The sequence below is a fragment of the Homo sapiens genome, chromosome 3 (genome assembly GCF_000001405.40).
Source record: "Homo sapiens chromosome 3, GRCh38.p14 Primary Assembly".
NCBI lineage: Eukaryota > Metazoa > Chordata > Mammalia > Primates > Hominidae > Homo > Homo sapiens.
In genome coordinates this window covers 75626139-75640288 of record NC_000003.12, presented here as the reverse complement: position 1 = coordinate 75640288, position 14150 = coordinate 75626139, and the positions used below count along the sequence as shown (strand labels likewise).

Here is a 14150-nt window from a genome sequence, read left to right as displayed (position 1 = left end):
TAAATTTTTTAGTTATTGTGTTGTTATTTTATAGCAGCTGCAGCATTTTACATTTCCACCAACAGTGTACAAGGATTCTAATTGCTCCACGTCCTCACCAACACTTCTGATTTTCTGTTTTGTTTTTTGTCTTTTGGTAGTAGCTATGCTGATGGGTATTAAGTGATATGTCATTTGGGGTTAGATTTGCATTTCACTCATGATGAGTTTTGTTGAGCGTCTTTTCATGTGCTTATTAGCCACTTTACATAATTTTTAGAGAAATGTCTGCTTAAGTTTTTGCCAATATTTTAAACAAGTAGTTTGTTTTATTGTTGCTGAATTGTTCTTTGCATATTCTGGATAGATTCCTATTCGTCAATTTTTCTTTTGTTTCTTGTGTTTTGGGTGTCCTGTTTAAAAAAAAAACTGCCAAATCCAGTGTTATGACGTGTTTCCCCTATATTTTATTCTAAGAATTTTGTAGTTTTAGCTCTTACATTTAGGTATTTGATCCAGTTAGTTAATTTTTTCTTACAGTATAAGTGAAGGGCCCAGGTTCATTCTTTTACATGTGGGTGCTTAATTTCCCCAGCACCAATTTTTGTGAAGACAGTTCTTGGCTGGGCGCGATGGCTCACACCTGTAATCCCAGCACTTTGGGAGGCCGAAGCGGGCGGATCACGATGTCAGGAGATCAAGACCATCCTGGCTAGCAAGGTGTCCGCTGTGCTCCTGATCCAGCGAAGCACCCATTGTCACTCCCAATAGGGCTAAAGGCTTGCCATTGTTCCTGCACAGCTAAGTGCCTGGGTTCATCCTAATCAAGCTGAACACTAGTCACTGGGTTCCACGGTTCTCTTCCGTGACCCACAGCTTCTAATAGAGCTATAACACTCACCGCATGGCTCAAGATTCCATTCCTTGGAATCCGTGAGGCCAAGAGCCCCAGGTCAGAGAACAGGAGGCTTGCCACCATCTTGGAAATGGTCTGCCAAAATTAAGGAAGTGGCCTGCCACCATCTTGGGAGCTCTGGGAGCAAGGACCGCCCCATGGTAACAGCACCTTAACTATGCGTCCCCAAGGACCTACAGATCACAGGGCAACAGGGGCTGTGAGGGAGTTGTCTGGATTTCCCAAGGTGGAGGAGGTAAAAAAGGAGATGGATCTCAAGCTCCTGCACCAGCACCAGCGAGAGACAAAGGCCCCACCAAACGCCGGAAGCCACACCCTCCTCTCTTCTCAAACTGTGTGCCTGATTGGGTGGTTCCCACACCAGCGCCACTGATTGAATAAAACACCAGGACCCACCCACCCGCGCCCCACCCCGGCCCCTACCCCACTCACCCTGAGCGTTAGTGCATTTTTGTTTGTTTCTTTGTTTTACTTTAAGTTTTGGGATACATGTGCAGAACGTGCAGGTTTGTTACATAGGTTTACATGTACCATGGTGGTTTTCTGCACCTATCAACCTGCCATCTAGGTTTTAAGCCCCACATGCATTAGATATTTGTCCTAATGCTCTCCCTCCCCTTGACCCCAACCCCCTAACAGGCCCCGGTGTGTGATGTTTCCTTCCGGTGTACATGTGTTCTCATTGTTCAACTCCCACATATGAGTGAGAACATATGGTGTTTGGTTTCCTGTTCCTGTGTTAGTTTGCTGAGGATAATGGTTTCCAGCTTCACTCAGGTCCCTGCAAAGGACATGAACTCATTCTTTTTTATGGCTGCATAGTATTCCATGGTGTATATGTGCCACATTTTCTTTTTCCAGTCTATCATTGATGGGCATTTGGGTTGGTTCCAAGTCTTTGCTATTGTAAACAGTGCTGCAATAAACGTAAATGTGCATGTGTCTTTATAGTAGAATGATTTATATTCCTTTGGATATATACCCAGTAATGGGATTGCTGGGTCAAATGGTATTTCTGCTTGTAGATCCTTGAGGAATCACCACACTGTCTTCCACAATGGTTGAACTAATTTACACTCCCTCCAGCAGTGTAAAAACGTTTCTGTTTCTCCACAGCCTCACCAGCATCTGTTGTTTCCTGACTTTTTAATAATTGCCATTCCAACTGGCGTGAGATGGTATCTCATTGTGGTTTTGATTTGCCTTTCTCTAATAACCAGTGATGATGAGATTTTTTTTAATATTTGTTGGCCACATAAATGTCTTCTTCTCCTTCTTCTTCTTCTTCTTCTTCTCCATTTTCTTGTTCTTTGAGACAAAGTCTTGCTCTGTCACCCAGGCTGGAATGCAGTGGCAGGATCTTGGCTCACTGCAACATCTGCTTCCCGGGTTCAAGTGATTCTCCTGCTTCAGCCTCCTGAGAAGCTGGGACTACAGGCACCTGCCAATATACCTGGCTAATTTTTTGTGTTTTCAGTAGAGACGGGATTTTACCATGTTGGCCAGGCTGGTCTCAAACTCCTGACCTCATGATCCACCTGCCTCCACGTTCCAAAGTGCTGGGATTACAGGCGTGAGCCACCACACTCAGTCAAATATCTTCTTTTGAGAAGAGTCTGTTCATATCCTCTGCCCACTTTTTAATGGATTTTTTTTCTTGTGAATTCATTTAAGTTCCTTGTAGATTCCGGATGTTAGACCTTTGTCAGATGGATAGATTGCAAAAATTTTCTCATTCTGTAGGTTGCCTTTCACTCTGATGATAGCTCCTTTTGCTGTGCAGAAGCTCTTTAATTAGATCTCATTTGTCAATTTTGGCTTTTGTTGCAATTGCTTTTGGTATTTTGGTCATGAAGTCTTTGCTCATGCCTATGTCCTGAATGGTATTGCCTAGGTTTTCTTCTAGGGTTTTTATGGTTTGGGGTTTTACATTTAAGACTTTAATCCATCTTGAGATAATGTTTGTGGAAGGTGTAAGGAAGGGGTGCAGTTTCTGTTTTCTGCATATGGCTAGCCAGTTTTTTCAGCACCATTTATTAAATAGAAGATCTTTCCCCATTGCTTGTTTTTGTCAGGTTTGTCAAAGATCAGATGGTTGTAGATGTGTGGTGTTATTTCTGAGGTCTTTGTTCTGTTCCATTGGTCTATATATCTGTTTTGGTACCAGTACCGTGGTGTTTTGGTTACTGTAGCCTTGAAGTATAGTTTGAAGTCTGGTAGCATGATGCCTCCAGCTTTGTTGTTTTTGCTTAGGATTGTCTTGGGTGGACAGGCAAACAGGCTCGAATAGTTGGGGTCACATGCCCAGAGTATCACAGCTAATTAAGAAGTGAGCTGAGACTTGAAATGCGCATGCTCTTTCCCTTACCAGGATCTGTTGTGTCATGCATCTTAGCAGCTATTTAAGGGTAGGAAGTAGAACATTTGGACATCTTTTTAACAACTTATTAGGCATTTTCATAATGCGGGAAAGACCCTCATCCCATCCCTGAGCCCCTCTCTCACCACGCTGCACCTCACTGCTGACCACATCGTGGGGTGGCCATTATCAGGCGGGCCAGAATCAGGCCAGAATCAGGCAGGCAGCGGGGGCTGGGAATAAATAAGCAAGAATAATGTTGCCCATATTTGCTCATCTTAGAAAGGCTCCACAACCATTCTGTGTGAAGTGATTATTCCAGGGTAATTGTGCCCTGACTGTGCTGCATCTCAGTCTGACTTGTCTTTTTGAAAATCACTGGATTACTCTCATTAATAGGGGTATTTCTGTTTCTATTTGAAAATGGCCAACTGTCCTCTGCAGGTGTCCTGATTTGGTTTGCTAGTTTAGACCCTGAAGGTAGCAGTGAGAAAATGTTTTGGCCACATCAGAATACCTATTCTCAGCTGGAGTAGATATAGAAATTTCTTAATAATATCTAACCGTTTTCTCTATAACCATTATATTTAACAGTGATAACTGGAGGGCAGAGAGGGACACAGATGACACAATCTTTGAAGTTTAATTTGGTTATAAGGTTTTTTGTTCTTGTTTTGTTTTGCTTTGTTTTTGGATACAAGGTCTTGCTCTGGTGCCCAGGCTGGAGGGCAGTGGCACAATCATAACTCATAATTTGGTTGTAACTGTTCTTTAAAAAATATTTTTGGCTGAGTTTGGTAGCTCACACCTGTAATGTAAACAATTTGGGAGGCCAAGGTGGGATGATCGCTGGATCCTATGAGTTCAAGACCAGTTTGGGCAATATAAGTAGGCTCAGCCTCTACAAAAAAAATTTTAAAATTGGCTGGGTGTAGCATTGCATGCCTGTAGTGTAGTCCTAGCTATTTGAGAAGCTGATGTGAAAGGATCACTCGAGCCTAAGAGTTTGAGGCTGCACTGACCCATGATTCAGCCACTTCACTGACAGATGTGTGTGTGTGTGCGTGTGTATGTATAATCAATATGGATGTGAAAAAAATTCAAGCCCGGGAGAAAAGTGAAAGCCCATAGTGGGGGATGTGGAGAAAGGTGAGTGCGGCTCCAGCAACTCAGTGAAACTTGGTTTTCCATCTTGAAGAATTGCCCATACACACTGAAACCATAGCCTAGAACATGCCAGTTATCACACTACACCTGCTGGGATACCACTATGTACCCTTTTTTAAAAAAATAAAATCTTTCACCTAAGAGAAGCAGAAGAGAAAAGGAGGGTTTCACATCTAAAGCCTTCATTTTCTTTATGAAACAACAGCCACTTGTCATTTGAGTTGTCCAAAGGCGACTGACAGCACTAATACACTTAATGAATCAACCAGGAAAAATGGGCCTCTCGGGTGAGGAGGAGGCACAATAGTAACTAAACCCAATCCATTCTCAGCTTTACATGGTGCCCGTATCTTAAGAAGTGGTGTTAGCCATGTGAACCGTTTTCACTGGACAAGGCCAGAAGAAAGAACATTTAGTACAACACAATCATGAGGCTGCAAATCAAACTGGTAGTGGGAGCATGCACAAGGCTTCAGTGGCTGAGACACTGGTGGCTACCCTTGGGTGTCACTTAAAACTTCGAGGTGAAGGACATTTTTTTTCCAATTGGCTCAGGGAAACTAATAAACATTAGAATTGAAATTTGTTTTTCTTTTCAAAATCTCTAAGACATAGAGGATTCTCTAAACACTCCAAAAGACATTCAGATATACATGCAGCTGAGGACCTGCCTGCTCTGCAGAGGGATGGCTGAGCAGCAGCCACCAGCTGTAATAGCTTTAAACTTCTCCTCTCACAGGGACAGGCCACTCCCACACACACCGGTTACTTCATAGGCTGTGGCCCTCAGATGCACCTGGGGGACTCCTTTCCTCCCATCTCATTAGCTCTCCAAGACAGTCCATCTCACTCTAAAAGCTACACTAGGATGGTGAGTTGTAGACTCTCCTCCATTCTCCCAGCGCAGTGTGACTTCCAGAGAGTGCTCCCCCATCCTCTTACCTCAACTGATGTGAAAAGGGCCAGTGCCTGGGCAGTTAGATGTTCAGTGACCTCACAGGTCCAGCATGCCCAGGGCCTGGCCCCACAGCCTGGCACCTCTCCCCTACCTGGCCTTCATGCCGGCCTTTTCTCTTCTGTCACCAATGTCAGGTGACATTCACCTGTGCCACACTCTCATGAGCGTGGTAAGTGATGGGTGGGTAAACCCCAGCTGAGTGCCTGTGACTCTACCCTCTTACCTTTCACTCAAGTGACATTATAAGCATAATTTTACATTTGATTTCATTTATGCATAATCTTTTCTTATAACATTTCTGACAACAGCCCTCACAACCAAAGGAGACTGGGTTACAGAACACACGGGCAAGGCTGGGGTAGCAGGTTTCACTTACTTTATTCCAATGTGAAATGAAGATGTGATGGTTTAAAACCAAGACAAAGTTGTTTATCAGCTGTGGGGTTGCTACACTTGCTAGCTCATGCTCACTTCCTTTGAAACAAGGAATCTGGAGAGACTATATTCATAAGTAGCTCTTTGCAAAACCCCAGGCAGAAGCCCCAGTCAGACACAGCTCCCTCAGGCTCTCAGGGCGGCAACTTCCTCCTCCATGTTGGGCTCTGCCAGCAGGCAAGGGAAGAGCTCCCTCAGGCTCCCAGGGCGGCAACCTCCTCCTCCACGTTGGGCTCTGCCAGCAGGCAAGGGAAGAGCTCCCTCAGGCTCCCAGGACGGCAACCTCCTCCTCCATGTTGGGCTCTGACAGCAGGCAAGGGAAGCAGCATAGGCAGCGGGGGACAGGAAGCCACCCGGGGCCATAGGGATCCCCAAACGCCCCAGAGCTATTCTCTGTAGAAAGGGCTGTGTGGCAAGGACCAGGTATGGAGCTGGGTTCCACAGAGAGGTGACAACCACTTTGCATCTCTAAATTTCCCCCGGGATCCATGATCCAGCCCTGCTTTTCCCCAGGCCCTTCACCCACCCTGCCCCCACTGTGTGTTAGGCAGCTCGGGTTAAAATGGGAGAAAAATATATTCAGATTGTAGCCTCCAAGTTTTCCCATCTGGGCTGCAGAGAGTAGGGAAGGAAGTCGGGGCCTGTGGCGGTGCCTTTTGCTGTGCCTGAGGGCAGGAAGGCCAGGGCTGGGCGGGTGGATGTCTCCGGGACCACCACTGCTGACTCCCTCCCCCTCACCTGGAGCTACAACCAGGCCAGGCTATCACGATTAATAAAACCACTGCAGCTCTCATCCTGTCACAAAACTAATGTGCACCCAACCCCAGCCCTACACAGATCCCTAGCTTCCTATCCCAGAACACAGAAAATCCTCTTATCTTTTTTACTTAAAACCTGGACTTTAAGCTAGATTGGGCCTGGGGATAGTGGCAGCAAAAGCAACAGCCAGATGTATACAATCCAGATGTATACACTCAAGGGCACAGGCATATTCCACACTTGCTGAAGAATGAGAGGCCTGAGAGGCACCTGTTTCCCAGCTGCTAACTGATGTCCCCATTCATGTGTCTTCATTTAGGCCTCTGTATCATGTACTTGTTCAGCCAGTGCAAACACATCTTCTGGGGGGCATCATTAATTGCAGCACCAGCCCCACTTGTTTTGGGAGGGAGTCAGGAGGAATCTGGTCAGCTCCTAATCCCCCAGGACAAAGGTGCTGCCCCCTTTTCAGCACTCACATCCAGCAGCATCATGTTGGGATGGTTTTTCAAACACAAGTAGCATGAGGTAGCACGCATGCTGTTAAAGGCTCAGGGCCACAGGCAGCCAGCTGCTGGAGAAACAGCACAGGGCAGGCACATCTGTGGGTGGCACCATGATAAGCCAAGGCAGCCACAGCCCCTACCCACAACAGCCCCAGCCCAGATGGCATTCAAATCTTCCCGGATAGTATTGGGGTTCCCGATGCCCATCACTCCCCTGCTCATTAGCACTGCCTTGTGTTGGTTACTCAGGGACTAAGGAGAGAGGGTGGGGGTGTAGGTTCAGGGTGGGCACTGCCTCGCAGCCAGAGTCCACCTGACTGCAGGCCAGCAAGCAAGCCCAAGCAGCTCAGCTCTAGACACTTAGCCTCACCACCTCTGGCTACATTTTCTATGTATACTTTATGCAAAGGTAGAAAAAGAGGTCAGTATTAGCTGTTGTGACATAAAAGTCTATGCCCCATTAAGACCTTCTTAAAATGCTGTTGTCTTAAGCCCTCTTTCTTCTAATAAAATTTATACAAATACACACATACAAGCTGAAACTACTATAAATGAAATATTAGGATTTTTTAAACCCATAAGCAAACACTAAAACAGTCACTGTTTGAATGCAGAGAAAGTGGGAGTCTAAAGCAGCTGACCCCAAAACAGCCTTACCAAGCCCAAGGCCAGGCCAGGCAGTCTGAACACTACGAGGTCACGTGATGGTCACAGAGGATGACAGCTCCCATGAGTATTCTCAGGCACTGTGTTAGCTTCTCACTCACAGAGTCTCAGAATGCCTCCTCACCAATACCCTGTGAGGGAAGGCCCCACCTCACTAGAGCACAAGAGGTTCCTGAGCTCTTCCCAGAAAATGGTTATCAAAGGGTGGAGCTGGGGGAAGCCCAGACAGAACAAGTGAGTCCCCAGGGTCTCCTTAACCTCCCTCAGCTCCTCCACATGCGGCCCTGAGGGAAAGTGAGCGGCCTCCTAACCCCTTTGATAGGGTTCCAGTACTGCAGGTCTGGACTTCCTTATTTTCTGGAATCATAGGAGGTGACAATGCAAACCCAGGCCCCTTATTTGCCATCCCTCAATGCCAGGCCAGGCCCAGAGCCCTGTGCTGACACAGCCCAGGGGATGCTCGAAACCCACCTCAGCACAGTCACCAATAGCATAGTGAGATGAGCAAGGAGGTGCAAGTAGGCACAAATCCCCATGGACATGGCCTCAGGCATGTTCCACAGGCTCAGGGTCTCCCTGATGAGCTCCCAGCCCTCCTTCAGGGAGCCTGCAGAGCACACCCCCAGGGAGCAGTGCTCAGATGAGCAGGCAGACCCCAGATCCCCCACCCCAGGATGCTCTGTTCCACTTTGCAGGGCTGCTGCATTCGCCAGTCCCCACTGCTTTCTGGTGGGATGTTTGAGTTGAAGTGAATGTTGAAGGGCATACAGCTGACGGAGCTGACTGCCTTGCAGAAGTTGTAAATCACCTCCTGGCTCCACGGGTCAGCTGTGGAGACACAGCTTGATTGGAGGTAGCCCCCCTCTACCATCAGTGGTGCTGGGCTGCCCTGATCTGCACCTTCCAGCTCCTTGCTGAGATGTCTTCATGCTTCTCTAAGGGACTGGGTCACGAGACACCCCTGGGAAGGCCCAGCTGGCAGAATAGGCTGGACACTCTCCCTCAGCCTCCCCAGCAGCCCGGCCTGTGCTGTCACCTGTGCTGATGATCTCACTTCTCTATCTTAATAACAGCACTGATAACTTTTAAGCCCTAGCAAGCTGAAACTGCAAGACAAATGATCTTCTGCCTTAGAAGGGCTATGGTTGGGCAGTGTGTGCCCAGGTGAGAGCCCTGTGGTTGTTAGTAGAAATAGGGAGCTGGATGGGCCTGGCCCCATAGCCTAGTGGAAAGTAGGGCCCTCTCCTTCCAGAGCATCAAAGTCTTAGAGGCTAGAAAAAGGTGCTTGGGTGGGCTGCCAAGAAGCAGAAGGCTAGAAGGCTTTGCAAGGAACCCCAACAGACTTCAAGGTGCCTGAGAGGGCTGGGCTTATTCCAGCTTTCTTTGCTTTCATCCTGTTAGCAAGAAAACCTGCTCACAGATGGCAGGTGGGCCTGAGGCTGCCAGTCACTCACCAGGGGCTATAGGTGCCTTGATTGTGGCTGTTTCTTGAAGCAGCTGCTCAGGCCGGTTATTGCAGAGCAGTTCCCTCATTATCCACAGGTCCTTGTTCCAGCCCTGGCTCTGCAAAGGGACTAGGGAGGGACTAGGCAAGGGCTCAGCCTGTGCCCCACAACCTGCTCTGAGATATCTCTTTTGTTACTTCCTCATGGACAGCCTCAAACTTCCAAATGAACAGACCAGCATGGAGCCTCCAGGAAAGTGCATAGAATTCTGTCTGGTACCCAGAGGGAAGGGGGTTCCCAGTGAGGGCAGGACCAGGCTTCATGCACCTCTTCAGGAATGTTCTCCTCATAGTCCAGCCTCAAGGTGTGCATCCTCTGTGTGCATGGAGTCCATGGCAGGCTCTGCCTGGGGAGCCGTCCAGCTGCACACCTGCAATGTGGTGGTGACCCTCTTGAATGGGTGGTTCTGGGCCCCATGGCTGGCAGCAGAGAGGGAGATGTTCAGCCACCAAGCCCAGAGCCCTGCCACAGGCTTCTGTGAGGCCTCCATCTGCTCTGGGTTCTTGCCCTGAGAGGCTGCCCTGAAGTCAGACAGAAGCAGGTGGGCCTCTCTTCCAGGGCTGCTCTCTCCCCCACTGACAGCTCCCTAGAGGGCGACTCAGACAGTGGGGACAGATTCTTCAGGCAGAAGCACTGGAGTTTAGGCTGGCCGGTTCATTCCATACCCCCACATGACATGACACAAGGCAGAGGCTGTGGGACAAAGGCATTGCCTTTTCTTCTGGCATGAGGAACGGCTTAGGAAGCAGGGGATGGTGGGGCTGGGGTTGAGTGATGGGCTGTGGGCCACAAGGAGTGGGTGGGCACTGAGCAAGTGTCCTGGTTGTCTGTCCACAGACCCAGAACGAGTGGCATCCCAGGAGCCTGTGAGGGGCTGGCAGAGACTTACTGGTTCCAGTAAAAGCCCCATGTGGATGCAGTAATGCTGCCTGCTGGTCCTTGGCTGTAATTACAAACAGGTACAAGAGGTACCCATGCTTCTTGAAGCTCTCAGGGAGTGGGTTCCAGCTGCTCATGGTAGGCACTTTTAGTCACTGAACGTGCTTCAGGTATGTCCAAGTTTGATTAAGCCAGGCATCTTGCTGTGAGGCCCTCCACTTCACTAAGGACACTCTTCCTTTCTCCCCCTGGAAGTTGGACCTTCCAGTTCTGGTTCTGGAGACACGATGGCCCCCCCTGGACCTATATTATCCTGGCTCCTATATTTACTGTCCCAGTTCTAGTATCAGACATTTCTTCAAAGAGCCTGATTCCTTTCAGAATGGTAGGAAAACTTGCATCTGGCTGCTGAATGAGCACATTGTATCTTGTCCCTCATTGGCAATGCTAGGAAGTATATGTGTGTGTCTAACCTACCTATACACACCTAATTATAAAGTTTTCTATGTAGAACTGTGTGTATCTATATTAAACTAAACATAAGTTTACATTGATGTCTCCACCTCTGATCTACTATCACATGAATCATTCTAGCCTTCTCGCCTTGCTAATTTGTAACCTCCCACTTCAACAGTGAGAAACCTGGTTCCCACCATCTGTGACTTATGTAAGTCATTGTTTTATTCCAGATACAGACACCGTGGTTTTACAATTGTTCACAATTGCTTCTGTTGGAAAGAACTTTATAAAATGGAATCCAATGATGAAGTATAGTTCATTTGCCATCAGCCTACAGATTCTATTCATTTTCAAAGTTACTTAGGTCAACACCATTTTCCCTACACCTTCAGTGAGTTTTTACCTACATTTGTGTCTTAGTCCATTTTGTGCTTCTGTAACAGAATACCTGAGGCTGCATAATTTATAAGTAAAAAAGGTTCATTTGGCTCACAATACTGGTGGCTGGGATGTCTGAGATTGGGCAGTTGCATCTGGTGGGGCCTCAGTCTTTTTCACCTCATGGTGGAAAGTGGAAGGGGAGCAAGGGGTGCACCAGAGATCACATAGCAAAAGTGAAAGCAAGAGGGAAGCCAAGGAAGCCAGACTCTTTTTAATTACCTAGTCCTGCAGGAATTATCTATTCCTGTGAGAACAGAACTCACTCACCCCCATGGAGGACATTAATCTATTCATGAAGGATCCGTCCCCACGACCCAAACACTGTCCACTAGGCCCCACCACCCCACACTGACACAGTGGGGGTTAAATTTCAACATGAGCTTTTGCGGGGACAAACCACATCCAAACCATAGTAATTTGTAGCATAAATTCTTTTTCACATGATGTATTCTGTCCTGGGATACTCCACATCCTGAGTAATTTTATTTAATTTGAATAGAGTTTGCTTTAACCATTTGCCTGTAAAATTCTGCATATTTTGAAAAATGCATTGTGGCAGATATCCCACTATTAAAGTATCATATGGAATGCTTCAAACCCCCACCCCATGGAGCCAATGGCTTCCCATCTGTGTAGTTTGCCTTCTCCAGTGTCTCATTAAATGAGGTCACACTGTGTGTATCCTCCTCAGACTGTCTTCTTCCACTTAGCAATGTGCATGTAAGATTCACTCATGTCTTTGTGTGAGTTGATAGCTTGTTCCTTTGTATGGCTAAATAGTATTCCATTACATGAATGTACCACAATTTGGTTATGCATTTTGGGGAGCAGAACCTTCCTTTTCTAACTTTGTTCCAGGGTTGGAGACCTTAAAATTAACTGACAATAGATGCATTAGTAGGAGAGACAATACTTGGCTTCTTGTTCCCCAAGTATCATTGTGGGACAAAATTCATCAGATGGCAGGATCCAGTTCGCAAAGAGGTAAAAATAGTCAAGAAACAAGAAACAAGACTAGAATCTGATAACCCACAATGGCTATAGTTTTCCTTTAAAAAAATTTTTTTTGAGACAGGGTCTGGCTCTTTCACCCAGACTGGAGTGCAAAGGTGCAATCTCAGCTCACTGCAACCTCTACCTCCTGGGTGCAAATGATCCTCCCTCCTCAGCCTCCTGATTACCTGGGACTACAGGCACACGCCATCATGCCCATCTAATTTTTGTATTTTTGGTAGAGACAAGATTTCACCATGTTGCCCAGGCTGATGTTGAACTCCTGGCCTCCCAAAGTGCTGTAATTATAGGCATGTGCCACCATGCCCGGCCATGTTATACTTTTCCATTGAAACATTAAATTTCTCTCTGTAGTAACCATCATTTTTGATCACAATCAAAGTAAGACTATTCTTGTTTTAAAAATAAGTCTAGTTTTGTTAGATTTTGCTTGATTATTTACGTAAGTGCAGCAAGAACAGGAGATGACCACGTAGGTGCTTTCAGGTTTCTTTGCTGGAAGTTTTCATACAGAATCTCAGATTTGACTTTTAAAGCCCTTATTCAGGCTAAAAGCCAAGCCAAGAACATACTATCAAATTTCAGCTGTAGTCCTTATAGTTTTGTGTGAATTCCTCTCTTCTTGAGGCCCCAAAATATCCCTAAATTCCTGGGCCTACCATGAAATGACCTTCCTTACTAACCTATAAGGCTGTGAACCCTGTAATCTAGGTATCAGGCTGGCTTTTCTCAGAGTGCTGTTGGGAATGAAGTTTTTGATGTTCCAAAAAAAAAAAAAAGAATTAACATGGGAACAAATGATCTCTTAGCAAGGTGAACTTTACTTTTCTGCAGAAAGGGTGCTACTCAATAGCTGTCCAGCCACAAGAACACATCAAACAAAGGAGACAGAGTTACTTATAACCTGATGTATCTACCCTACTGCTGTGTCCAGTTTCCATTGGCTGGAATAGGACCTCACAATTTACACTTTACCCGATTGGCTGTTAGTTTAAAACTTTCTTAATTAGGTAAGGGGAATAGAAGAAAGAAAGAAAAGGAAGTTGCCCAAGGATAGTTAAGGAAGCATCTCCAAATAAGGAATTGCATGTACTATGGGCTGGGGCTTGTCTAGTTCTGTCCAGGCATGCTGGAGCAAGCTAGGACAAGTGATTTGGAATACATACACACACACACACACACACACACACATAAAAATAGTGGATAGTTGTGACTTTATAATCTTTGAGGAAGAACTTTCCTCAAAGTTTTCCACAGTGCTTTGTAAGCATTGTCTCCATAAAAGTCAACCTTACTTCCTTAAAATTGCTTGTCATAACTGATCTTAGGTACACTTCCTAAATATGATATTCCAGTAAAAATCTTGATAATATAACCAAAATTTCCAATTATGTCCTGTTATAAGGTGAATAGATTCTTATTGGACTTTTGCTAACAACTATATCATCATGGAAATGAGAGTATTCAGTAAGGATTTCAAAATTCTGGAAAAATCAGGCAGGGAAAAAAAGATAAATGCTTCATTTCTGTTTACAAAAGTATAATCTACTAAATTGTTGCAAGTTACAGTTAGAGTAAGAGAAAGAGATTTCTTAAATCCAGAAACTAGAATATTAAAGAACCAGCAATGCTCCAAAAAGCTATAAAATTATAATCAATTTTCATCAGTTCATTCAGTGCCATGTAATCAATTCCAGTCTTGTGGATCTTGGGTTAGCAGTGTCAGGAACCCATCAATTTCCCAACCAGACTTCTGGAGACCTTAACTGAGTCAAGCGTATGGTCTTAAAGTTATTTAAGCAATATCATCAGAAGCCTATAACCAGAGTACCTGTCATAGTCTTTTCTGTGAGTCTCAGAGGGAGTCCTGTCTTGGAGACGAATATTCTGACCTGTAGCTGATTGCAGGAGCTTTCAGGAAAGCATCAGGGGGAAATAATATCTAAATGACCAAAAGTATGAAATGGCTGTGATGAAAGATCTGAGGAGAGTTCATTATACCACAACTGACAAGGATATTCGATTTTTTCTGTGGCATACAACATATATTTATTTATTTATTTAGAGACAGAGTCTCACTCTGTCGCCCAGGCTGGAGTGCAGTGGT

The 14150-nt window shown here is 45.9% G+C and overlaps 1 non-coding gene and 1 pseudogene across 1 annotated transcript; both read right to left on the bottom strand.

Moving 5' to 3' along the window:
- CLUHP10 (clustered mitochondria homolog pseudogene 10) lies at positions 5741-10297 on the bottom strand (annotated as a pseudogene).
- MIR1324 (microRNA 1324) lies at positions 9431-9526 on the bottom strand. The gene has a single exon (NR_031714.1). It is a non-coding gene; the product is annotated as a microRNA 1324 (primary transcript).